This window comes from Homo sapiens, chromosome 10 (assembly GCF_000001405.40).
Source record: "Homo sapiens chromosome 10, GRCh38.p14 Primary Assembly".
NCBI classification, from domain to species: domain Eukaryota; kingdom Metazoa; phylum Chordata; class Mammalia; order Primates; family Hominidae; genus Homo; species Homo sapiens.
The window spans coordinates 53478795-53505561 of record NC_000010.11 but is presented as its reverse complement, the minus strand read 5'-3'; the positions used below and the strand labels follow the sequence as shown (position 1 = coordinate 53505561).

Below are 26767 nucleotides of genomic sequence, written 5' to 3'. Positions count from 1 at the left end.
AAAAATCATGGTCAAAGAGTGAGAGGTAACAGGGTCCAGATCTGAAAAACTTTTTTGGCTATTTTAGGGACTCCAGAAGACAGGAATACAACTGACGAAATAAGGAATGTAGAACAGAGAGGAGGCTCAAATATTACTTCAAGTTTGAGCAATTAGAAAGACTGAGTTGTATTTTACTGAGATAAGCAAGACAGTGGAAGGGGAAATTGCCTGTTCTGATTGAGATATTAAATCTGATATTGCTACACATGGAGACACTGGGGTAGCATTTGGATACACGCCTCTGAAGTTTAGGAAAGAAATCCTGGCTGGAGACATAAATGTGGGAGTTTCAAGAGTTTGTTTTAGAACCATAACGGATCCATTGCAAAGAAACTACAGAAGTAGGAACCATAAGTTTGACTAGACTAACTCAAAATCTGCTTTTACCCTACACTTGCTAAATACTGTCTCTAGTTTCTCTTAGTATTTACTGTTCTAATATATTTTCTTAATTGTATGATAAACTGTGTTTGGCTTATTTTTCAGTATATTAGTAGAGTCATCTGTTATCTTTCTTCTTCAAATAAAATCTTGACTATGATACATATAAAATGTGTGAGATCCGTAAGTTACTTATTTGTGACTTGGTTCTCAATCTGTAAAATGTGCTAAGTTATAGTGTCGTTGTGAGGATTAAACATGTTAACACATGGAGAATAAACATCATAGTGCCCAGCTCAGCATAAGCCTTTAATAAATTCTATCTCCTAACATAACTGGTCTTTGCAAATACTGCTGTTATCATACTCTGGAAGTAAGAATTCCCATATAGGCCTTGTTGCATATAGGTACTGTCAGGCCTCTGAGCCCAAGCCAAGCCATCGCATCCCCTGTGACTTGCAGGTATACGCCAGATGGCCTGAAGTAACTGAAGAATCACAAAAGAAGTGAATATGCCCTGCCCCACCTTAACTGATGACATTCCACCACAAAAGAAGTGTAAATGGCCAGTCCTTGCCTTAAGTGATGACATTACCTTGTGAAAGTCCTTTTCCTAGCTCATCCTGGCTCAAAAAGCACCCCCACTGAGCACCTTGCGACCCCCACTCCTGCCCGCCAGAGAACAAACCCCCTTTGACTGTAATTTTCCTTTACCTACCCAAATCCTATAAAACGGCCCCACCCCTATCTCCCTTCACTGACTCTCTTTTCGGACTCAGTCCGCCTGCACCCAGGTGAAATAAACAGCCATGTTGCTCACACAAAGCCTGTTTGGTGGTCTCTTCACACGGACGCGCATGAAATTTGGTGCCGAAATCCCCTGTCCTCCTGTTCTTTGCTCCGTTAGAAAGATCCACCTACAACCTCAGGTCCTCAGACTGACCACCCCAAGGAACATCTCACCAATTTTAAATCAGGTAAGCGGCCTCTTCTTACTCTCTTCTCCAAACTCTCTCACTGTCCCTCAACCACTTTCTCCTTTCCACTCTTCAATCTCTCACTTCTCTTAATTTCAATTCCTTTCATTTTCCGGGAGAGACAAAGGAGACACGTTTTATCCGTGGACCCAAAACTCCAGCGCCGGTCATGGACTGGGAAGGCAGCCTTCCCTTGGTGTTTAATCATTGCAGGGACACCTCTCTGATTATACACCCACGTTTCAAGGGTGTCAGACCACACAGGGACACCTGCCTTGGTCCTTCACCCTTAGCGGCAAGTCCTCCTTTTCTGGGGAAAGGGCAAGTACCCCAACCCCTTCTCTCCTTGTCTCTACCCCTTCTCTGCTTTTCTGGGAGAGGGGCAAGTACCCCTCAACCCCTTCTCCTTCACGCTTAGCGGCAAGTCCCGCTTTCCTAGGGGGCAAGAACCCCCCAATCGCTTATTTCCGCACCCTGACCTCTTATCTCTGTGCCCCAATCGCTTATTTCTGCACCCTGACCTCTTATCTCTGTGCCCCAATCCCTTATGTCCATGCCCCAACCCCTTCTCTGCTTTTCGGGAGGGCAAGAACCCCCCACCCCTTTTCCATGTCTCTACTCTTTTCTCTGGGCTTCCCTCCTTCACTATGGGTAAGCTTCCACTTTCCATTCCTCCTTCTTCTCCCTTAGCCTGTGCTCTCAAAAACTTAAAACCTCTTCAACTCACACCTGACCTAAAACCTAAATGCCTTATTTTCTTCTGCAATGCTGCTTGACCCCAATACAAACTCGACAGTAGTTCCAAATAGCCAGAAAATGGCACTTTGAATTTTTCCATCCTGCAAGATCTAAATAATTCTTGTCGTAAAATAAGCAAACGGTCTGAGGTGCCTGACGTCCAGGCATTCTTTTACACATCAGTCCCTTCCTAGTCTCTGTGCCCAATGCAACTCGTCCCAAATCTTCCTTCTTTCCCTCCCACCTGTCCCCTCAGTCCCAACCCCAAGCGTCGCTGAGTCTTTCTAATCTTCCTTTTCTACAGATCCATCTGACCTCTCCCTTCCTCCCCAGGCTGCTCCTCGCCAGGCCGAGCTAGGTCCCAATTCTTCCTCAGCCTCTGCTCCTCCACCCTATAATCTTTTCATCACCTCCCCTCCTCACACCTGGTCCGGCTTACAGTTTCGTTCCATGACTAGCCCTCCCCCACCTGCCCAGCAATTTACTCTTAAAAAGGTGGCTGGAGCCAAAGGCATAGTCAACGATAATGCTCCTTTTTCTTTATCCCAAATCAGATAGCATTTAGGCTCTTTTTCATCAAATATAAAAATCCAGCCCAGTTCATGACGTGTTTGGCAGCAACCCTGAGACGCTTTACAGCCCTAGACCCTAAAAGGTCAAAAGGCCGTCTTATTCTCAAAATACATTTTATTACCCAATCTGCTCCAGACATTAAATAAAACTCCAAAAATTAAATTCCGGCCCTCAAACCCCACAACAGGATTTAATTAACCTCGCCTTCAAGGTGTACAATAATAGAAAAAAGTTGCAATTCCTTGCCTCCACTGTGAGACAAACCCCAGGCACATCTCCAGCACACAAGAACTTCCAAACGCCTGAACCGCAGCAGCCAGGCTCCTCCAGAACCTCCTCCCACAGAAGCTTGCTACACATGCTGGAAATCTGGCCACTGGGTCAAAGAATGCCCGCAGCCCGGGATTCCTCCTAAGCCGTGTCCCATCTGTGTGGGACCCCACTGAAAATCGGACTGTTCAACTCACCTGGCAGCCACTCCCAGAGCCCCTGGAACTCTGGCCCGAGGCTCTCTGACTGACTCCTTCCCAGATCTTCTCGGGTTAGCAGCTGAAGACTGACACTGCCCGATCACCTCGGAAGCCCCCTAGACAATCACGGACACCGAGCTTCGGGTAACTCTCACAGTGGAAGGTAAGCCCGTCCCCTTCTTAATCAATATGGAGGCTACCCACTCCACATTACCTTCTTTTCAAGGGCCTGTTTCCCTTGCCTCCATAACTGTTGTGGGTATTGACAGCCAGGCTTCTAAACCTCTGAAAACTCCCCAACTCTGGTGCCAACTTAGACCATACTCTTTTAAGCACTCCTTTTTAGTTATCCCCACCTGCCCAGTTCCTTTATCAGGCTGAGACACTTTAACTAAATTATCTGCTTCCCTGACTATTCCTGGACTACAGCTATATCTCATTGCCGCCCTTCTTCCCAATCCAAAGCCTCCTTTGCGTCCTCCTCTTGTATCCCCCCACCTTAACCCACAAGTATAAGATACCTCTACTCCCTCCTTGGTGACCCATCATGCACCCCTTACCATCTCATTAAAACCTAATCACCCTTACCCCACTCAACGCCAATATCCCATCCCGCAGCATGCTTTAAAAAGATTAAAGCCTGTTATCACTTGCCTGCTACAGCATGGCCTTTTAAAGCCTAAAAACTCTCCTTACAATTCCCCCATTTTACCTGTCCTAAAACCAGACAAGCCTTACAAGTTAGTTCAGGATCTGCACCTTATCAACAAAATTGTTTTGCCTATCCACCCCGTGCTGCCAAACCCATATACTCTCCTATCCTCAATACCTGCCTCTACAACCCATTATTCTGTTCTAGATCTCAAACATGCTTTCTTTACTATTCCTTTGCACCCTTAATCCCAGCCTCTCTTCACTTTCACTTGGACTGACCCTGACACCCATCAAGCTCAGCAAGTTACCTAGGCTGTACTGCCGCAAAGCTTCACAGACAGCCCCCATTACTTCAATCAAGCCCAAATTTCTTCCTCATCTGTTACCTATCTCAGCATAATTCTCATAAAAACACAAGTGCTCTCCCTGCCAATCATTTCCGACTGATCTCTCAAACCCCAACCCCTTCTACAAAACAACAACTCCTTTCCTTCCTGGGCATGGTTGGATACTTTCGCCTTTGGATACCTGGTTTTGCCATCCTAACAAAACCATTATATAAACTCACAAAAGGAAACCTAGCTGACCCCACAGATCCTAAATCTTTTCCCCACTCCTCTTTCCATTCCTTGAAGACAGCTTTAGAAACTGCCCCCACTCTAGCACTCCCTGACTCATCCCAACCCTTTTCATTACACACAGCAGAAGTGCAGGGCTGTGCAGTCGGAATTCGTACATAAGGACCAGGTTTGCGTCCTGTAGGCTTTTTGTCCAAACAACTTGACCTTACTGTTTTAGGCTGGCCATCATGTCTCCATGCAGCCGCTCCTGCTGCCCTAATACTTTTAGAGGCCCTGAAAATCACAAACTATGCTCAACTCACTCTTTACAGTTCTCATAACTTCCAAAATCTATTTTCTTCCTCATACCTAATGCATATACTTTCTGCTTCCCGGCTCCTTCAGCTATACTCACTCTTTGTTGAGTCTCCCACAATTACCGTTGTTCCTGGCCCAGACTTCAATCCGGCCTCCCACATTATTCCTGATACCACACCTGACCCCCATGACTGTATCTCTCTGATCCACCTGACATTCACCCCATTTCCCCAAATTTCCTTCTTTCCTGTTCCTCACCCTGATCACACTTGATTTACTGATGGTGGTTCCACCAGGCCTAATTGCCACACACCAGCAAAGGCAGGTTATGCTATAGTATAAGCCACTAGCCCGCCTCTTAGAACTCTCATTTCCTTTCCATCGTGGAAATCTATCCTCAAGGAAATAACTTCTCAGTGTTCCATCTGCTATTCTACTACTCCTAGGGATTATTCAGGCCCCCTCCCTTCCCTACACACCAAGCCCACCCAGGACTGGCAAATTAGCTTTACTCAACATGCCCTGAGTCAGATAACTAAAATACCTCTTAGTCTAGGTAGATATTTTCACTGGATAGGTAGAGGCCTTTCCTACAGGGTCTGAGAAGGCCACCGCAGGCATTTCTTCCCTTCTGTCACACATAATTCCTCAGTTTAGCCTTCCCACCTCAATACAGTCTGATAACAGACAAGCCTTTATTAGTCAAATCAGCCAAGCAGTTTTTCAGGCTCTTAGTATTCAGTGAAAACTTTATATCCCTTACGGTCCTCTGTCTTCAAGAAAAGTAGAATGGAATAAAGGTCTTTTGAAAACACACCTCTCTCAGAGCCAAGATGGCCAAATCAGAACAGCTCCAGTCTACAGCTCCCAGCCTGAGCGACACAGAAAACGGGTGATTTCATCATTTCCATCTGAGGTACCGGGTTCATCTCACTAGGGAGTGCCAGACAGTGGGCGCAGGTCAGTGGGTGCGCGCACCGTGTGTGAGCCGAAGCAGGGTGAGGCATTGCCTCACTCGGGAAGCGCAAGGGGTCAGGGAGTTCCCTTTCCTAGGCAAGGAAAGGGGTGACAGACGGCACCCGGAAGATCTGGTCACTCCCACCTGAATACTGCGCTTTCCGACGGGCTTGGAAAATAGCACACCAGGAGATTATATCCGGCACCTGGCTCGGAGGGTCCTGTGCCCACAGAGTCTAGCTGATTGCTAGCACGGCAGTCTGAGATAGAACTGCAAGGCGGCAGCAAGGCTGCGGAAGGGGTGCCCGCCATTGCCCAGGCTTGCTTAGGTAAACAAAGCAGCTGGGAAGCTCGAACTGGGTGGAGCCCACCACAGCTCAAGGAGGCCTGCTTGCCTCTGTAGGCTCCACCTCTGGGGGCAGGGCACAGACAAACAAAAAGACAGCAGTAACCTCTGCAGACTTAAATGTCCCTGTCTGACAGCTTTGAAGAGAGCTGTGGTTCTCCCAGCACGCAGCTGGAGATCTGAGAACGGGCAGACTGCCTCTTCAAGTGAGTCCCTGACCCCTGACCCCCAAGCAGCCTAACTGGGAGGCACCCCCCAGCAGGGGCAGACTGACACCTCACACGGCCAGGTACTCCAACAGACCTGCAGCTGAGGGTCCTGTCTGTTAAAAGGAAAACTAACAAACAGAAAGGACATCCACGCCAAAACCCCATCTGTACATCACCATTATCAAAGACCAAAAGTAGATAAAACCACAAAGATGGGGAAAAAACAGAGCAGAAAAACTGAAAACTCTAAAAAGCAGAGCGCCTCTCCTCCTCCAAAGGAACACAGTTCCTCACCAGCAACGGAACAAAGCTGGATGGAGAATGACTTTGACGAGCTGAGAGAAGAAGGCTTCAGACGATCAAATTACTCCGAGCTATGGGAGGAAATTCAAACCAAAGGCAAAGAAGTTGAAAACTTTAAAAAAAATTCAGAAGAATGTATAACTAGATTAACCAATACAGAGGAGTGCTTAAAGGAGCTGATGGAGCTGAAAGCCAAGGCTCGAGAACTACATGAAGAATGCAGAAGCCTCAGGAGCCGATGCGATCAACTGAAAGAAAGGGTATCGGTGATGGAAGATGAAATGAATGAAATGAAGCGAGAAGGGGAGTTTAGAGAAAAAAGAATAAAAAGAAATGAGCAAAGCCTCCAAGAAATATGGGACTATGTGAAAAGACCAAATCTACGTCTGATTGGTGTAACTGAAAGTGACGGGGAGAATGGAACCAAGTTGGAAAACACTCTGCAGGATATTATCCAGGAGAACTTCCCCAATATAGCAAGGCAGGCCAACATTCAGATTCAGGAAATACAGAGAACACCACAAAGATACTCCTCAAGAAGAGCAACTTCAAGACACATAATTGTCAGATTCACCAAGGTTGAAATGAAGGAAAAAATGTTAAGGGCGGCCAGAGACAAAGGTCGGGTAACCCACAAAGGGAAGCCCATCAGATGAGCAGTGGATCTCTCAGCAGAAATCCTAAAAGCCAGAAGAGAGTGGAGGCCAATATTCAACATTATTAAAGAAAAGAATTTTCAACCCAGAATTTCATATTCAGCCAAACTAAGCTTCATAAGTGAAGGAGAAATAAAATCCTTTTCAGACAAGCAAATGCTGAGAGATTTTATCACCACCAGGCCTGCCTTACAAGAGCTCCTGAAGGAAGCACTAAACATGGAAAGGAACAACTGGTACCAGCCGCTGCAAAATCATGCCAAAATGTAAAGATCATCGAGACTAGGAAGAAACTGCATCAACTAACGAGCAAAATCACCAGCTAACATCATAATGACAGGATCAAATTCACACATAACAATATTAACTTTAAATGTAAATGGACTAAATGCTCCAATTAAAAGACACAGCCTAGCAAATTGGATAAAGAGTCAAGACCCATCAGTGTGCTGTATTCAGGAAACCCATCTCACGTGCAGAGACACACATAGGCTCAAAATAAAAGGATGGAGGAAGATCTACCAAGCAAATGGAAAACAAAAAAAGGCAGGGGTTGCAATCCTAGTCTCTGATAAGACAGACTTTAAACCAACAAAGATCAAAAGAGACAAAGAAGGCCATTACATAATGGTAAAGGGATCAATTCAACAAGAAGAGCTAACTATCCTAAACATATATGCACCCAATACAGGAGCACCCAGATTCATAAAGCAAGTCCTGTGTGACCTACAAAGAGACTTAGACTCCCACACATTAATAATGGGAGACTTTAACACCCCACTGTCAACATTAGACAGATCAACGAGACAGAAAGTCAACAAGGATACCCAGGAATTGAACTCAGCTCTGCACCAAGCGGACCTAATAGACATCTGCAGAACTCTCCACCCCAAATCAACAGAATATACATTTTTTTCAGCACCACACCACACCTATTCCAAAATTGACCACATACTTGGAAGTAAAGCTCTCCTCAGCAAATGTAAAAGAACAGAAATTATAACAAACTATCTCTCAGACCACAGTGCAATCAAACTAGAACTCAGGATTAAGAATCTCACTCAAAACTGCTCAACTACATGGAAACTGAACAACCTGCTCCTGAATGACTACTGGGTACATAACGAAATGAAGGCAGAAATAAAGATGTTCTTTGAAACCAATGAGAACAAAGACACAACATACCAGAATCTCTGGGATGCATTCAAAGCAGTGTGTAGAGGGAAATTTATAGCACTAAATGGCCACAAGAGAAAGCAGGAAAGATCCAAAATTGACACCCTAACATCACAATTAAAAGAACTAGAAAAGCAAGAGCAAACACATTCAAAAGCTAGCAGAAGGCAAGAAATAACTAAAATCGGAGCAGAACTGAAGGAGATAGAGACACAAAAAACCCTTCAAAAAATTAATGAATCCAGGAGCGCGTTTTTTGAAAGGATCAAAAAAATGGATAGACCACTAGCAAGACCAATAAAGAAGAAAAGAGAGAAGAATCAAATAGATGCAATAAAAAATGATAAAGGGGATATCACCACCGATCCCACAGAAATACAAACTACCATCAGAGAATACTACAAACACCTCTACACAAATAAACTAGAAAATCTAGAAGAAATGGATAAATTCCTAGACACATACACTCTCCCAAGACTAAACCAGGAAGAAGTTGAATCTCTGAATAGACCAATAACAGGAGCTGAAATTGTGGCAATAATCAATAGCTTACCAACCAAAAAGAGTCCAGGACCAGATGGATTCACAGCCGAATTCTACCAGAGGTACAAGGAGGAACTGGTACCATTCCTTCTGAAACTATTCCAATCAATAGAAAAAGAGGGAATCCTCCCTAACTCATTTTATGAGGCCAGCATCATCCTGATACCAAAGCCGGGCAGAGACACAACCAAACAAGAGAATTTTAGACCAATATCCTTGATGAACATTGATGCAAAAATCCTCAATAAAATACTGGCAAACCGAATCCAGCAGCACATCAAAAAGCTTATCCACCATGATCAAGTGGGCTTCATCCCTGGGATGCAAGGCTGGTTCGATATACGCAAATCAATAAATGTAATCCAGCATATAAACAGAACCAAAGACAAAAACCACATGATTATCTCAATAGATGCAGAAAAGGCCTTTGACAAAATTCAACAACCCTTCATGCTAAAAACTCTCAAAAAATTAGGTATTGATGGGACGTATTTCAAAATAATAAGAGCTATCTATGACAAACCCACAGCCAATATCATACTGAATGGGCAAAAACTGGAAGCATTCCCTTTGAAAACTGGCACAAGACAGGGATGTTTTCTCTCACCACTCCTATTAAACATAGTGTTGGAATTTCTGGCCAGGGCAATTAGGCAGGAGAAGGAAATAAAGGGTATTCAGTTAGGAAAAGAGGAAGTCAAATTGTCCCTGTTTGCAGATGACATGATTGTATATCTAGAAAACCCCATCGTCTCAGCCCAAAATCTCCTTAAGCTGATAAGCAACTTCAGCAAAGTCTCAGGATACAAAATCAATGTACAAAAATCACAAGCATTCTTATACACCAATAACAGACAAACAGAGAGCCAAATCATGAGTGAACTCCCATTCACAATTGCTTCAAAGAGAATAAAATACCTAGGAATCCAACTTACAAGGGATGTGAAGGACCTCTTCAAGGAGAACTACAAACCACTGCTCAATGAAATAAAAGAGGATACAAACAAATGGAACAACATTCCATGCTCATGGGTAGGAAGAATCAATATCGTGAAAATGGCCATACTGCCCAAGGTAATTTACAGATTCAATGTCACCCCCATCAAGCCACCAATGACTTTCTTCACAGAATTGGAAAAAACTACTTTAAAGTTCATATGGAACCAAAAAAGAGCCCGCATCGCCAAGTCAATCCTAAGCCAAAAGAACAAAGCTGGAGGCATCACACTACCTGACTTCAAACTATACTACAAGGCTACAGTAAACAAAACAGCATGGTACTGGTACCAAAACAGAGATATAGATCAATGGAAAGGAACAGAGCCCTCAGAAATACCGCCACATATCTACAACTATCTGATCTTTGACAAACCTGAGAAAAGCAATGGGGGAAGGATTCCCTATTTAACAAATGGTGCTGGGAAAACTGGCTAACCATATGGAGAAAGCTGAAACTGGATCCCTTCCTTACACCTTATACAAAAATCAATTCAAGATGGATTAAAGACTTAAACGTTAGACCTAAAACCATAAAAACCCTAGAAGAAAACCTAGGCATTACCATTCAGGACATAGGCATGGGCAAGGACTTCATGTCTAAAACACCAAAAGCAATGGCAATAAAAGCCAAAATTGACAAATGGGATCTAATTAAACTAAAGAGCTTCTGCACAGCAAAAGAAACTACCATCAGAGTGAACAGGCAACTTACAAAATGGGAGAAAATTTTCACAACCTACTCATCTGACAAAGGGCTAATATCCACAATCTACAATGAACTCAAACAAATTTACAAGAAAAAAACAAACAACCCCATCAAAAAGTGGGCAAAGGACATGAACAGACACTTCTCAAAAGAAGACATTTATGCAGCCAAAAAACACATTGAAAAATGCTTACCATCACTGGCCATCAGAGAAATACAAATCAAAACCACGATGAGATACCATCTCACACCAGTTAGAATGGCAATCATTAAAAAGTCAGGAAACAACAGGTGCTGGAGAGGATGTGGAGAAATAGGAACACTTTTACACTGTTGGTGGGAATGTAAACTACTTCAACCATTGTGGATGACAGTGTGGCGATTCCTCAGGGATCTAGAACTAGAAATACCATTTGACCCAGCCATCCCATTACTGGGTATATACCCAAAGGACTAGAAATCATGCTGCTATAAAGACACATGCACACGTATGTTTACTGTGGCACTATTCACAATAGCAAAGACTTGGAACCAACTCAAATGTCCAACAATGATAGACTGGATTAAGAAAATGTGGCACATATACACCATGGAATACTATGCAGCCATAAAAAATGATGAGTTCATGTCATTTGTAGGGACGTGGATGAAATTGGAAATCATCATTCTCAGTAAACTATCACAAGAAAAAAAAAACAAACACCACATATTCTCACTCATAGGTGGGAATGGAACAATGAGAACACATGGACACAGGAAGAGGAACATCACACTCTGGGGACTGTTGTGGGGTGGGGGGAGGGGGGAGGGATAGCATTGGGAGATATACCTAATGCTAGATGACGAGTTAGTGGGTGCAGTGCACCAGCATGGCACATGTATACATATGTAACTAACCTGCACATTGTGCACATGTACCCTAAAACTTAAAGTATAATAATAATCAATAATTAAAATAACAAAATTTACACTTCTGAAAAAAAATAAAGAAAGAAAGAAATAAAAAATAAAAACACACCTCACCAAGCTCAGCCACTAACTTAAAAAGGACTGGACAATACTTTTACCACTTTTCCTTCTCAGAATTCAGGCCTGTCCTCGGACTGCTACAGGGTACAGCCCATTTAAGCTCCTGTATAGACGCTCCTTTTTATTAGGCCCCAGTCTCATTCCAGACACCAGACCAACTTAGACTGTGTCCCCAAAAAACTTGTCATCCCTAGTATCTTCTGTCTAGTCATACTCCTATTCACCGTTCTCAACTACTCGTACATGCCCTGCTCTTGTTTACACTGCCGGTTTACACTGTTTTTCCATGCCATCACAGCTGATATCTCCTGGTGCTATCCCCAAACTGCCACTCTTAACTCTTGAAGTAATTAAATAATCTTTGCTGGCAGGACTATGCTGAATCTCCTTAGGCACTCTCTGATCAGATATCCTGAGTCATCCCAATTCTTAGACCTTTTATACCCGTTTTTCTCCTTCTGTTATTCCATTTGGTTTCTCAATTCATCTAAAACTGTATCCAGGTCATCACCAAGCATTCTATATGACAAATGTTTCTTCTAACATCCCGACAATATCACCCCTTACCACAAGACCTCCCTTCAGCTTAATCTCTCCCACTCTAGGTTCCCACGTCACCCCTAATCCCGCTTGAAGCAGCCCTGAGAAACATCGCCCATTCTCTCTCCATACCACCCCCCAAAAATTTTCGCCACCCCAACACTTCAACACTATTTTGTTTTATTTTTCTTATTAATGTAAGAGGGCAGGAATGTCAGGCCTCTGAGCCCAAGCCAAGCCATCACATCCCCTATGACTTGCAGCTATACACCAGATGGCCTGAAGTAACTGAAGAATCACAAAAGAAGTGAATATGCCCTGCCCCACCTTAACTGATGACATTCCACCACAAAAGAAGTGTAAATGGCCAGTCCTTGCCTTAAGTGATGACATTACCTTGTGAAAGTCCTTTTCCTAGCTCATCCTGGCTCAAAAAGCACCCCCACTGAGCACCTTGCGACCCCCACTCCTGCCCGCCAGAGAACAAACCCCCTTTGACTGTAATTTTCCTTTACCTACCCAAATCCTATAAAACGGCCCCACCCTTATCTCCCTTTGCTGACTCTCTTTTCGGACTCAGCCCGCCTGCACCCGGGTGAAGTAAACAGCCATGTTGCTCACACAAAGCCTGTTTGGTGGTGTCTTCACACGGACGCGCATGAAAGGTACTTGAACTAAAGAAGACCTATGTGAACATTTTAGTCAGAATCTGGGCTTTCAGATAAATCAAAACCAGCGATGAAGTCCCTCATACACAGCAATTCCGATGCCAGGTATATTTTATGATGAAAACAGTGTTTTAGAAGTGATGAAACTTAATTTAAAGAATTTAATTGGGATGGTTACAGGACACCAGTAGACACTCACACCTGACTTCTCCTACATGTATCACTCACCATTAAACTTAAGTTGCCAGTCATAGTCTAGAAAGATCAGTAAAGACCACATTGCCATTATGGAAAATTATATTAGATATGTACCAATATACACGTGTTAACACAAGCTATCTTAAGTAAGTTACCACATGAGAGAGATTATAACAACATTCTCGTTTTATAGATAAGGAAATGGGCAGAGGATGCTTAAACAGTTTCTTGAAGGTCTCTCACACACTCACATATCTAGAAATCATGTAGCTGAAATTGTGAACAAGCAGTCTACCTTGAGAACATATGCTGTTAGTCATTAAACTATAATGCTTAATAAGTAATTTGCCAGATGTTAAAGAAAATTACACTAGGCAAATTAAACAGCAAGGAAGACTTCATAAAAGACTAGCAGTAAAGGTCAAGGCTATTGCACTAGGAAAGAGAGATTGAACTCAGCTGTGGTGAAACAAAAGGCAGGAAAGTTATTAAGTACTGGGGTGAGCTAACAGAAGAGTACAGGAAGACTTTATCGGAAGGTTGGTCAATTTCTTTAGGCCATCTGTGTTTGATAATTGGTACTTGTAATCTGTGTTTGCTAATTAAGTAGGCTTCTGCCCACCCACACAGAGACTGAGAGCTAGGAGTGATTTTATTTTGTTGTTCATTTTACTGTAATTATATTTCAAAGGGATGGCTCCCAGACTCACGAGAAAGACATTACTTTGTTGTAAAACTGGGGAGAGGCCAGGCAAAGATTTATACCTCAAAGGTGCAGAGAAAGAATTCGTTAATTGCAAGTTTTTGACAATAAAGTCTCTAAAAATAGGGAGGTCAAAGACCTATAGCCAGGAAGAAACCTGTCCAAGATTTAGTCAAGCTGAAGAGAATGTTAATGAAGTCCATTCTGGTCACAGCTTGGGCTGATATTCACTTTTTGGGTATGAAAATAATTGTTTTCAATTATAGAATGAATTTGGTTACTGAGGGAGGATTATTGGGCTTCTGCCCATAAAAAATGAATTGTGTGGTTAGGTAACTTAAATAATTTAAATTAAATTTTATCTTCTTAATTAAATATATTCTGACAACAAAATTTATTTATTTATTTTATTATTTTTTTTGAGAAGGAGTCTTGCTCCTGTTGCCCAGGCTGGAGTGCAACGGCATGATCTTGGCTCATTGCAGTCTCTGCCTCCTGGGTTCAAGTTATGCTCCTGACTCAGCCTCCTGAGTAGCTGGGATTACAGGCACCTGCCACCACACCCGGCTAATTTTTTGTAGTTTTAGTAGAGGCAGGGTTTCACCATGTTGGCCAGGCTGGTCTCGAACTCCTGACCTCAAATGATCTAACTGCCTCGGCCCCTCAAAGTTCTAGGATTATAGGCGTGAGCCACCATGTCTGGACAATTTTTGTTAATTTTTAAAGATAAAATATATGAATAAGAAAAATATTTAATTAAATTCTAAGCATTTGAGTTATTAACACAGAGGACTTTCACTCATATTACCAATTTAAAAGCAGATAACAATATGTTTTCACATTTTGAAACATATGACTACAATTAGTCTGCAACTTCTATGTTGCAGGTTTTATCATTTTTGCATATCTCAAATTTTCTACATTTAAGTTCTTTTACTTATGATATAGTAAAACAAGAGAAATAATGCATAAACCTTGCAGTATGACCTATAATTTCTTAAAATGAAACAAAGTTTAAGTTGAGATGAAAATTATCATTTGAATGTTGATATTACATCATATACAAATTGATTGCAACATAGTTATTTAATGTAACATTCTATTTTAAAAGATAAATTTATCAGAATCATACATTGCTACAGTAGTCTCCCTTATCCACAGGTTCATTTTCTATGGTTTCAGTTACCTACTGTCAACAAGGATCCAACAATATTACATGGAAAATCACAGAAATAAACAGTTTGTAAGTTTTAATTTGTGCGCTGTTCTGGGCAACGTGATAAAATCTCATGCTGTTCCTCTCTATCTTGCCTGAACATGAATTATCCTTTGTCCAGTATATCCACACTACATATGCTACCTTCCCATTCATCATTTAGTAGCTGTTTTGATTATCTGATAGAAAAAACACACAGTATATATAGAGTTTTTTATGGGGCAAGGGAAAACTTTCTCTTTGTCCTCTGAAGATTCACTGAAAACTCAACTCACAAGGGCAGACTAATAGGAATGAAGGTAAAAAAAAAATATATTAACATCAATGGAGATAACTACAGAGTGATTATTCCATTGCCATCAATGGACTACAGTGGCTTAAATATCGTTTTGAGGTTACAAAAAGAGTGGAAGTCTTGGATCTTGGCAAAACAGGTTATGGGAAGAAGAGAAGAGAAACCCTGGTTAGCAAAGGTCATCTTGTGATGCAGATAAAACCTCACAAGTAGCAGCCTTCAGAAAAAAAGAGATGGTAAATGTTTCTTTCAGACTTTTGAAGGTGTCAGACTCTCAGTTAATCTTTCCTAGATCCACACAAAAAAAGGGCCTCAGAGAAAGCCTGGCTGCATCGGTGCAAAGTCTCTACAGATGCAAATCTCCCTTACACGAGTCATCTTTTCAGGGATACTTCTGTTTGCTGGCTCTCTAAACAGCGATCTCAAAATATATCAAAGAAGTATATTTGGGGATGAAATATTATGATGTCCTTCAGTTTGGTACTATCAGCAGTTTCAGGCATCCAGTAGGGGTCTTAGAGTGTAATCCCTACAGATAAGGGAAGATGCTCTAGCTTGTTTTTTGTTTGACCTCTCTAAATCTCATGTTGAAATTTGATCCCCAATCTTAGAGGTTGATACCTATGGGAGATATTTGAGTTATTAGGGCAGATCCCTCATGTAGAGATTAATGCCTTTCCCCAGAGTGGGACAGTGAGTGTATTATCACTCCATTAGTTCTCTCTAGAGCTGGCCGGCTGTTAAAAAGAGCCTGGCACCTACTCTCTGTCTCTTGCTTCCTCTCTTGCCATGTGATCTCTGCACATACCAGCTCCCTTTTGCCTGCTGCTATGAGTGTGAGCAGCCTAAATAAAGTCCTCACAAGAAGCAGATTCTGGTTCCACGGATTTTTAAACAGCCAACAGAAGCATAAACCAAATAACCTATTTTTTAATATATAAATTACCCAGCCTCAGGTATCCTTTTATAGAACACAAACAGACTAAGACAAGGGACTACTGTATTTAAAATTAAGTTACATTTTATAATTGTTAGTTTAAATTGTGATTTTAAATTCTCCCTAGTTTCAATAATGGTGATACAAAGCTCAAAGAGAGTACTTTCTAAGCTTGTATGTAACTGTTATTTTTCAAACCACATTGTATTCGAGTGTCAGTATATCTTCATTTCTGCGGCATAACCAAGTCTCTTTAAAATGTCTGCATGTGTTTGCGTATTTTAAAAATATTTTTGAACAAAAAGACACAAAGAAAGTTAGAATAAAGTAAAATACTCAGTGCCTACATAGCATTAGAATTTATAAGGTCTGTTCATATAACTACACTGAACAAGACCCTCTGGGCTTATGTATCGCAAGCATTTGTATCACACCTATTAAGCTTTTTGTATTGAGTTCAGGAGGAGAAATTTAAAATCCCCTTTGAACTTTATTTGGTAACACTAGGTTAGAGTACTTTCTTGCCCCTAGCTAAGTTCTCACTCAATGGAACATAATGATGCCTCCTGTGTGTCTAGAAACCATACAGATAACTGCCTACTGAGCAAATTGAGTCAAAGATGCAGAATGGAAGAAAACTAGCATTATTGAATGCTAGCATACAGAGTGAAAGCTTCTTTTAATCCAAAAGATGGGTAAGATCTGTTGAAAAGTGATGTGGTTCCTGCTTCCTACAGCTTTAAGCAGTAGGAAAAAATATCTAAAATGTTAAAAATTGTGCAATTGTATTAATAATTTTACAACTTGTGTTATTCTTGTTTCCATTTTTACTATTTTTAAAGTATGCAACTCAAAGACAATCATGTCTTTTTAACAACATATAATGCAGAGTTAAGGAGCATAACACTGATGCATAAACTGAGGCATTTCATTCTAGCCCAAACTTATTTATTAGTAAACCATATCACTTTAGAATAAGAAAATATAAAATTTCTGAAAAAGACAATTTCTGAAAAATACTTTGTCATGTAGAGATATCATCCACTGAGAGGAGTGATGTACTTAGGAAAGTAATGTGACAAAATTGGGATCTTGCAGGACAGCCAAGTGGTGGGTTGATGGACAAAGAAGAAAGGTCAAATGAGGGAAAGAGGAAAAAATATTCCAAGACTAAGGAATAGTACTAACTAAAACAGAACAAAAATTACCTCTTTGCGTATGGCTATTCCACTATCCTGATAATATTTGCTTAAAAATTTATATTTTCCCAATGCTCTGAAATGTTTTTATCATTAACTAAATTCCCAAGTGTGTTTTTTCCAGTTTTTGTATATTTTATTTTAATTTTTCATCTATTCAAGCTGCAAAAGTTGGTTTTAATTTTGTGTATTTTTATTACTGAAAATTTGCCCTTTTTCAGTCTTTCCCTGAATGGTCTTGCTTGTGTTTTTATTCCAAATTAACTTGCTTGTTCTCTTATCGACAGGGACGGGGGCAGAGAAATTCTAGCCAGAAAAGTGTGGGTCACTGACAAACCGCCACTCTCAAGCCAAAAAACCTGAAACCACAGGCCAAAGTGAGAGCTTATATACCTGTTTTCCCACTTGAATGCTGCTTTTTCCTCAACCACCCCTGGCCCCGCCCTGCGCCATCCTGTGCCTATTAAAACCCCAGACTCAGCTAGTACATGGGACTATGGCTGGACGTGGGAGAAAAGCAGCTTGACTTCAGAAGGACAGCTTAACAGCGTAACTTCGGAGAAGAATCTGGCTGGAGATGACCTGACTTCAGGGGAAGGTAATCTTCCTACCCCCTCCGATTTACAGCTCCCCTTCCCACTGAGAGCCACTTTCATTAGCAATAAAATCCCCCGCATTTACCATCCTTCAATTTGTTCATGTGACCTCCTTCTTCCTGGATGCCAGACAAGAGCTCAGGAGCCATGGGTGTGGATATAAAAGGCTATCACATTGGCTCTTTGCCCTCACTGACAGAGAGCAGCTGCTCACATGAAATGGCAAAAGGGTCACTGAGCTGTTAAGCTGTCCACGGTTGGCAGAGCTAAAAGAGCACTGTAACATGCCCTCTGGGGCTTCAGGAGTTGCAAGCATCCCCACCTGGATGCTGCTGCAGGGCCTGCGTGGAGTTTGTTCCTGCCAGCACACAAAAGCAACCCGCTGGATCCTGCACTCGCTTGCTCCTGTTTGTGCACTCATTCACTCACACGCCTCCTCCCACAAGGGATAGACAGGGGCGGGCTGAGTAAATGAGGCAACGCTGTCACAAGTCCCATGAAGTGGTCAAGAAAATATCCTGCTTCATTAATTCCAGACAAAAATGGAGCTGTATTATGTGGGAATCACATTATATTTATAGGTTATTGATATTATTGATACAGCTTGGCTGTGTCCCCAACCAGATCTCATCTTGAATTGTAGCTCCCATAATTCCCACATGTTTTGGGAGGGACCATCTAGGAGATAATTGAATCATGGTGGCAGTTTGCTCCATACTGTTCTCCTGGTAGTGAATAAGTCTCATGAGATCCGATGGTTTTACAAGGAGTTTCTCCTTTAGTTTTGCTGTTATTCTCTCTTCTCTGCTGCCGTGTAAGATGTTACTTTGCTTCTTCTTTGCCTTCTGCCATGATTGTGAGGCCTCCCCAGTCATGTGGAACTGTGAGTCCATTAAACCCCTTTTCTTCATAAATTACCCAGTCTGAGGTATCTCTTTATCAGCAGCATGAGAACAGACTAATACAGTTCATTGGTACCAGAGGATTGGGGCACTGCTGTAAACATACCTAAATATGTGGAAGCAACTTTGGAACTGGGTAACAGGAAGAGGTTGGAACAGTTTGGAGGGCTCAGAAGAAGACAGGAAAATGTGGGAAGTTTGGAACTTCCTAGAGACTCGTTGAATGGCTTTGACCAAAATGCTGATAGTGATATGGACAATGAAACGCTGGCTGAGGTGGCCTCAGATGGAGATGAGGAATTTGTTGGCAAATGGAGTAACCATGACACTTGCTGTGTTTTAACAAAGAGACTGGTGGCATTTGGCACCTGCCCTAGACATTTGTGAAACTTTGAACTTGAGGAAGATGATTTAGGGTATCTGGCAGAAGAAACTGCTAATCAGCAAAGCATTCAAGAGGCGGTTTGGGTGCTGTTAAAAGCATTCAGTTTTAACAGAGAAACAGAGCATAAAAATGCGGAAAATTTGTAGCCTGACAGTGCGATAGAAGAGAAAAACCCACTTTTGAAATGGAAATTGTCATCTTACATTTGGAGTAGTTAAAAGTGGCACTGCCATTATCTGATACTTAAAAGAAGAAGAAACAATTGTGGAAACTATTAAATGCTCTTAATAAGATCAAAATTTGGGAAAGAATAAAAAAGTATCTAAAAGGATACTCTACAAACTTGTTTTTGGATATTACAAAATTAAAAGAACAAATATTTAAAGCATCCCAGGCACACCTGACCTTAATAACAGGAACTGGAGTGCTTAAAGGAGCTGCAGACAGATTAGCAGCTAGTAATCCATTAAAATGGATAAAAACACTTGGAAGCTCTGTGATTTCAATGATGAATGTGCTTTTAATCTCTGTTATTTGTCTTTGTATAGTTTGCAGATGTGGATCCTGACTCCTGCAAGAAGTAGCTCACCGTGACAAAACTACCTTTGCCTTTATTGATTTGCAAATCAAAGAAGGGGGACATGTTGGGAGCAGGCCCCCCGAAACTGGCCATAAACAAAACCGCTGCAGCACTGTAACATGTTCATAATGGCCCTAATGCCCACGCTGGAAGGTTGTGGGTTTACTGGAATGAGGGCAAGGAACACCTGGCCTGCCCAGGGAGGAAAACTGCTTAAAGGCATTCTTAAGCCACAAACAATAGTATGAGCAATCTGTGCCTTAAGGACATGCTCCTGCTGCAGTTAACCAGTACAACCTATTCCTTTAATTCGGCCCATCCCTTCATTTCCCATAAGGGATATTTTTAGTTAATTTAATAACTATAGAAACAATGCTAATGACTAGTTTGCTGTTAACAAATACGTGGGTAAGTCTCTGTTCAGGGCTCTCAGCTCTGAAGGCTGTTGAGACCCCTGATTTCCCACTTCACACCTCTATATTTCTGTGCGTGTGTCTTTAATTCCTCTAGCGCCGCTGGGTTAGGGTCTCCGCAACCGAGCTGGTCTCGGCAGTATCTCATATATCTATCTACTTTATTGTATGCCTTGAGTACATCACTACAACATGGATATTGCCACAAAAATATCTTTGTCTGACTATTTTCCCACTCGAGTGACATAGCCAGGGGAATAGCAACTGGTGTCTAAAGAAACCCCAAGAAATTTTATGCATGAACCAGGAAGACAAGAGAGGGTCACTCTCCCTAAGATACCCATAGGAAATCAGATTAGGGGTTTAGGTACATTAACACAAAATTAAACCAAAGCAAAGGCTTCTTCAGTAATCTATCATTTTTTCTTAAGTCTGTACTTGCCCAACTGTTTTAGTCCTATCATCCTAACCTTAAAGGTAGCTGAAAAGGGAAGAGAAAAAGCAGATGAAAATGGAAAATGGACCTCCGCCAGGGATTATGCAAAGCTATATCTTGCCCTTTGAAGAACACAAGTATTACCATTCAGAAAACTTTCCTCTATAATTCATGCAATGTAGAAAAAAATGCACAAAATCTAAAACTCCACATTTGAATGCCAGTCTAAATAATTGACATTACTCAAAAAAACTTGGTATTCAAATATGAAGTTTTTTCCATGTTAATGTTACTTAAAAAGAACAAAAAGGAGAAGACTAGGATTGAGGGGCTTGGGAGAGGAATGGGAGGAGAAACAAGAGGACAAAGAAAAGGGAAAATGGTAGGAGAAATTTATAGCTGAAATGAGACAACTATTATTCTTCATGTTTACTAAATGAAATTTCATTTATATGTGTCATTTAAATGAAAAATAATACAACTCATATTATGGGAACTTCATTTCTCATAAATCATATAAATAATTATATATGTGTTTTTGTGTATAATTAGTCCATATTCCACAGAAATAATTTGAAAAAATGCCCTAAGGAAATCACCTCTTATTATACCTCTGCTTAACAAAAAGATTAATATGAAACTTTAGATTTCTTTTCTAGTTTTTTCTAAGATAATTTAATATAAAACTTGTATTTTATATATTCACTATATACTATGTTATATATTTACTTACCTACTATATATAGTTTGTATCTTTTTCCATTATTAAAAAACAACTAAATATATCATTAAAATTGACCAAATATCATAATGACTTCATTAGATTTTATTATTTTTCAGCTGGTTCTCTAAGGTATTTTGGGGAGATCATGTTTTCTGCATATAATGATTATTAAACAAAACTATAAGAGGCCATGATTTTAGACTGAGCTCAAGCACTAGGCCCTAACAGACCAGACCAAACAAAATGGAGTCATTCCTGCTAAATGCCATATAAGAAATTGGAAACTCTAAGGAAGCAAAGAGATCTCAAAACAAACCTATTTTGTCTTCTGAAAACAGGAGATCACAGAATAATAAGGAAGTCCTCTCTGCTTTAACCTTTATAGAAAAGTGACCTGAAGAAACCAATCAGTTATTATTATTATTATTTTTTTTTACCGTTGTTCTCTTTGCTTGTTTTCACCTTACAAAACCCACTGTTTTGCTATTTTCCAGTGGAATTGAGAAGAAGTTAGTTCATTTACAACGGTGAAAGAATGACATCAATGCCTAAAGTTTTGATCAACTTCTTAATTTTGAGAGATTAACCAAAAGGGAGGAATTATTAAATTAAGTTTAGCCTAAAGCTGCTTCCTTATATATTTTAAGTTCAGCCTAAAGGTTTCTCCATACATAGTGAACTGTAATCTAACTGGAAATGTGAATGGACTCTTGTAACAAGTAGCCAAATCTCCAACCATGGGAAAGTCCCAGAGTCACTGTGAACCTGTTTTGCTTAGAAGGAGGAGGATTGTCCTTTAGCAAATCATTCTTTCTTCAATTAAAAACTTCGTTAAATTTAACTTGTCTAATGGTTTTCTTTTAACATGATAATTCTATATCCTCATTTTGAATAATTATTACTCTTACTATGTTTTAGGTGATTGCATTGACTGGAATTTTCAGATCAATATTTGGTAATAAAAATTCACTGATAGCAAGTTTCATATTCTTGAGGATAGTAAGATGGTTCTTGAGCTTTACTATTAACATTCTCTTATTTCTACAGAATTTATAGATAACAACCTGTTTATTTTCTGTTGAATATCTTCACCATACCTATGATTACAACATTGATACTTGTCATATTTATGCTTCTATTTTATAACAGTAATATATTGCCTAATATTCTACCAGAATTTTATAATTCTGGGATAAGACTTGCTTAATTCTGTGTAAATATTATTTGGATGTACATTTTGCTTTTAGAATTTAAGTTGGCTCTAGCAGTGTTTTCAAAAGTTTATCATTTAAGATAGCCAATTCTATGAATACTACATTAAATTTTTTTTTTTACAAATGGCTTTGAAAATGCCATATAAATTTAACAATGCACACATGGCATTTTAATGCAACAATTGAACCCAGCCAATTTAATAAATAAAACCTAGGTTATTGCACATTTATTTGACTGTAAACCTTTTTTCCCCTGAAGTAATCTATTTAAATTCTGCAGATCTAGTGTTTTAATGAGAATACTTTGTAAAAACTGGCTATATTACTATCCTAGCATTGTGGTAAAACATTACCAGACACCTGGTGACTTAAAACAATGGAAATTTATTATCTAACACTTCTGGAAACTCGACTTCTGAAATGAAGGTGTCAGCAGGGCCATACTTTCACTGAAAGCTCTAGGGAGGAATCCTTTCTTGCCTCTTAACTAGTTTCTGGCTGTTGTTGGCAATTTGGCAGCAAGTTCCTTGGTTTATGGCAACATCACTATAATTTCTGTTTCTGCCTTCACATGGCCTTCTTCCCTGTGCATCTGTGTCTCTGAATGTAAATATCCCTAGAGTCTCTCTGATGAAAAGCCTAGTCACTACATTAGAACCCACCCTAATCCATTATGACTTCATTTTACCTAGATTATATTCACAATGACCCTATTTCCAAAAAAAAATAGTGCATATATAGGTACCAGGGGGTAGGGCTTCAACATATCTTTTTGAAGGACATAATTTAATCCGCAACAAGGACTTAACATATATTATTTTATTGTATCATATTAGAGATTATCATATTATGATTATTCTCATTACCAATTTGGGGGCTTTAATTTCTCAGTCTCCCGCTCACCAAAAAAGAACTTTGCCTTTATAGTGTTGCTTTCTATTTTTACCCTTTTGGGGCTTGGTACAGTATAGACCATGTCAGGAATGTCAAATGAAATGTCTCATATTAGAGAATAGCCTTCAATAAATGAATAAAATCTAACATAAAACAATTTGGATGATTTGAATTAAAAAGTCCCAATTCAGACAAAATAACTTACTTTATTATGGGTAGTAGCATGTTGGTAGGAAGCTAGTAATAGTAAAAAATATTCTGATTACATAAACTTAATGTGATGTAGTATATAACTTGCTTTTTCAAATGATTAGTACTTTAATCTCAAAATACATTTTAAGATAGTTATATTACCTTTATTTTATAGATTAAAAATGTATAATCACAGAAAAGCTGAGTTTTCTGAAGTGAAGTTTGGTCCTGCCAGGTTTTGCCCAGTGCTACAATCTTTCTCCAACCTGCTTTTACTGCAGGTAAAACCCCACGGTTGACTACATGGCTTGTATGCATGGTCTCTGGGGCTGCTGATGGTTAGCAAAGCCAGCCATTAGGAAGAGGAGCTAGATTAAAAACAACGTAGACATGAAGCACTTTTATATCTGATATCACTGTAGTTGAACACAAATACTGCTTATACATAAAAATCTCTGATTTCTTGCCCACTCCTAAATTTTGTGCTAGTTTCTCTTTTAACCAAATATAGCCCAGAAACATACAAAACAAAACAAAACAAAAGATTCTAGGAAACGATTTTCAGTTTAACCAACTTGATGAGACAATTAGCACAAAGACTTTTAGCTAGATGTTGTTTTAGTTAATTGCTTGAGAGTTGAAGTTTTTGAAATTATTAAAATGGTAAGAGTAAGCAGTGGCTAAAGATTATACAAAAAATTACTTGTAGGATGTAATACTATTATCTTGGATTCAGAAAATCCATTATTCCAAGCCATCGTATCACTCTTATTATAATTATTATGAAAATATTATTGAGACCATTTTAAGCTAATTTTATTAAGCTAGATGAAGATAACATTGTAGAATTTTATCCAAAAGTTAAGTCCTTTTCACAGGAAGGTTTTGAAAAATAATTTATATGAATTAAATAATGTTGAAAAGAAATTTAGATAACAAAATTTTTTATTACAGAGGTAATTCTTTAAATTTAAGACTATATGAAATGCTTTCAGAATCATTTTTATAATTGCTTGGGAAAGAAATATCTATTTTCTGATTCAAAATTCTCAGGATTTATTAAAATGTCTTAATGCTGGGAAACTTGTCACTCAATTTAAAAGATTAAATAAATACATATCAAAAGAATAATGCAGCTGTACACGTAGTAATACTTAGAAATATTACATTAAAACAGGAGGTTAATAATATATTACTTGTTTGAAATGTTAATTTAAAAATAAACACAGAACATCTTCAAATGGATGGATTAATTTTATATGTTTCCTACCGAGAGAAAAGAGGATCTGCACATGAATGGGATAGTGGATCTTTGAATGAGTTTTTTGTATCTAGTAATAGTAGATATTTTAAGCAAATCTCACTGAAGTGAATAGGGGAAAATTGATTCTTCTGGGTTTTACAAACTTAGCTTTAGTTATTTATATTTATCAGGAAGAAACTGTCTCCCCAAAGACATGCATACAAATGCATATAAGCACATATATGTGCACACACACGAACATATCTGTTAGATACTGGAACTTAATGCTTTGAAACAAACAAAAAAGTTGAAATATTTATAGTTCACATAACCTAAAGAAATAAATACGTTTAAAAATTTTCTAAAATTAAAAAAACTATTGATTTTATATATAAGCTTCATGTCCATATCTATGAATTCAGAAACATAAAAAAAGGAAAGTTTTTTTTAAATATCAATGAGAAAAATGTAAAGTGCAATGCATCTATATTCATGAATAATTTTAACTATTTTCTTGGCATATTTTTAATGCTTAATAATGGTTCAGAGGAAGTGTTCTATATGTTAAATTTCAGGCTATGACTAGGTGAGATGTCCAATGCGTAGATTTCAGTTTTACCTTAGATTATTAATCCCCTCTGGCCACTGAGGCACTCCAACCCCAACTAGTTGCCTTTGGTGACACGCAGACTGGTTAAGAAAGTTCTGTTGGGCATCTCAGCTAAGTGATATATTATCAAATTCATTATGGTCCTTGAAATATCTGTCACTCACTGCTTCAAAGATAGTGAACCCAGCATCAAAATGTAGTGAACACAGCTAAGATTGCATGCCATCACCTAAACATATTCTATAGATTACAGTAGAATTAATAGTTGCCTAATTTAGACAACAAGTCTGGGGGAAGCTTCTGAAAAATGTGATGTACTGAATGCCTAAAGAAACGTTCCCAAGGTAGAAGGAAGGAATTTGGAAAGGCTTTCAACAGGAAGAGAAAGAAATTCAGAGGACAAAGAAGGCAGGGGCAGCTCCATTAAGTGGCTTTGTGTCTGTCTTTGCATATGTTTAGTAATTGTCTGTGGCTGACATACACTTTTAAGGGGTATCTAAGTTCATTGAGGAATGTGCACTTTTACAGTATCTGTACCTGCTGAAAATTCAAGCATCATTGTTCTTTTCGCATCATTGATATAATAATGTTCAATTGGATTCAATGTCCACTTGTATTATCTCAAAGGACTAACAGTGTATTTATCAAGTCACTTAAAAAAGAAATGAATTCTAATTGTTGTACCTATGGTCTTGGCTCATGGAACATTCACTGGGGTAGAGTTTGGATTCATGGAGCTAAAGTGAATGAACATTTCAGCCAAATCAGTTTCACACCTTGCACTATTAGCTATAGTCAGTGTATAGGGGAAGCCGCTAAATTCTTGACCTATACATTTTGGGAAGAGATTTATAAAATAAATGAATGAATAAATAATTTAAAAACAAGAACAAACAGATATCATGATTCCTCTAAGAATTTTGAAAAATGTAACTGCTATTTTGAAATATCCTAGTATATTAATCAAATTAGAATTGCAATATCTATGTCATAACAACTAAACTACTAAATTTTATAATATTTCAAGTTTCCTTAAGAATATTTTTCCTCAGGCTGGGTGTGGTGGCTTACGCCTGTAATCCCAGCACTTTGGGAGGCCAAGGCGGGTGGATCACCTGAGGTCTGGAGTTCGAGACCAGCTTGACCAACGTGGAGAAACCCTGTCTCTGCTAAAAATACAAAATT

At 39.5% G+C, this 26767-nt stretch overlaps 3 annotated features.

Annotated features, from left to right (window-relative positions):
* Positions 602-1435: an enhancer, noted in NCBI's record as "OCT4-NANOG-H3K27ac hESC enhancer chr10:55263887-55264720 (GRCh37/hg19 assembly coordinates)". NCBI's record gives its function as "activates a minimal SCP1, AML or CMV promoter by ChIP-STARR-seq in primed H9 embryonic stem cells {active_cell/tissue: H9 hESC(primed)}" and the evidence as "EXISTENCE:reporter gene assay evidence [ECO:0000049][PMID:30033119]".
* Positions 11960-12489: an enhancer, noted in NCBI's record as "OCT4-NANOG-H3K27ac hESC enhancer chr10:55252833-55253362 (GRCh37/hg19 assembly coordinates)". NCBI's record gives its function as "activates a minimal SCP1, AML or CMV promoter by ChIP-STARR-seq in naive and primed H9 embryonic stem cells {active_cell/tissue: H9 hESC(naive and primed)}" and the evidence as "EXISTENCE:reporter gene assay evidence [ECO:0000049][PMID:30033119]".
* Positions 12490-13020: an enhancer, noted in NCBI's record as "OCT4-NANOG-H3K27ac hESC enhancer chr10:55252302-55252832 (GRCh37/hg19 assembly coordinates)". NCBI's record gives its function as "activates a minimal SCP1, AML or CMV promoter by ChIP-STARR-seq in naive and primed H9 embryonic stem cells {active_cell/tissue: H9 hESC(naive and primed)}" and the evidence as "EXISTENCE:reporter gene assay evidence [ECO:0000049][PMID:30033119]".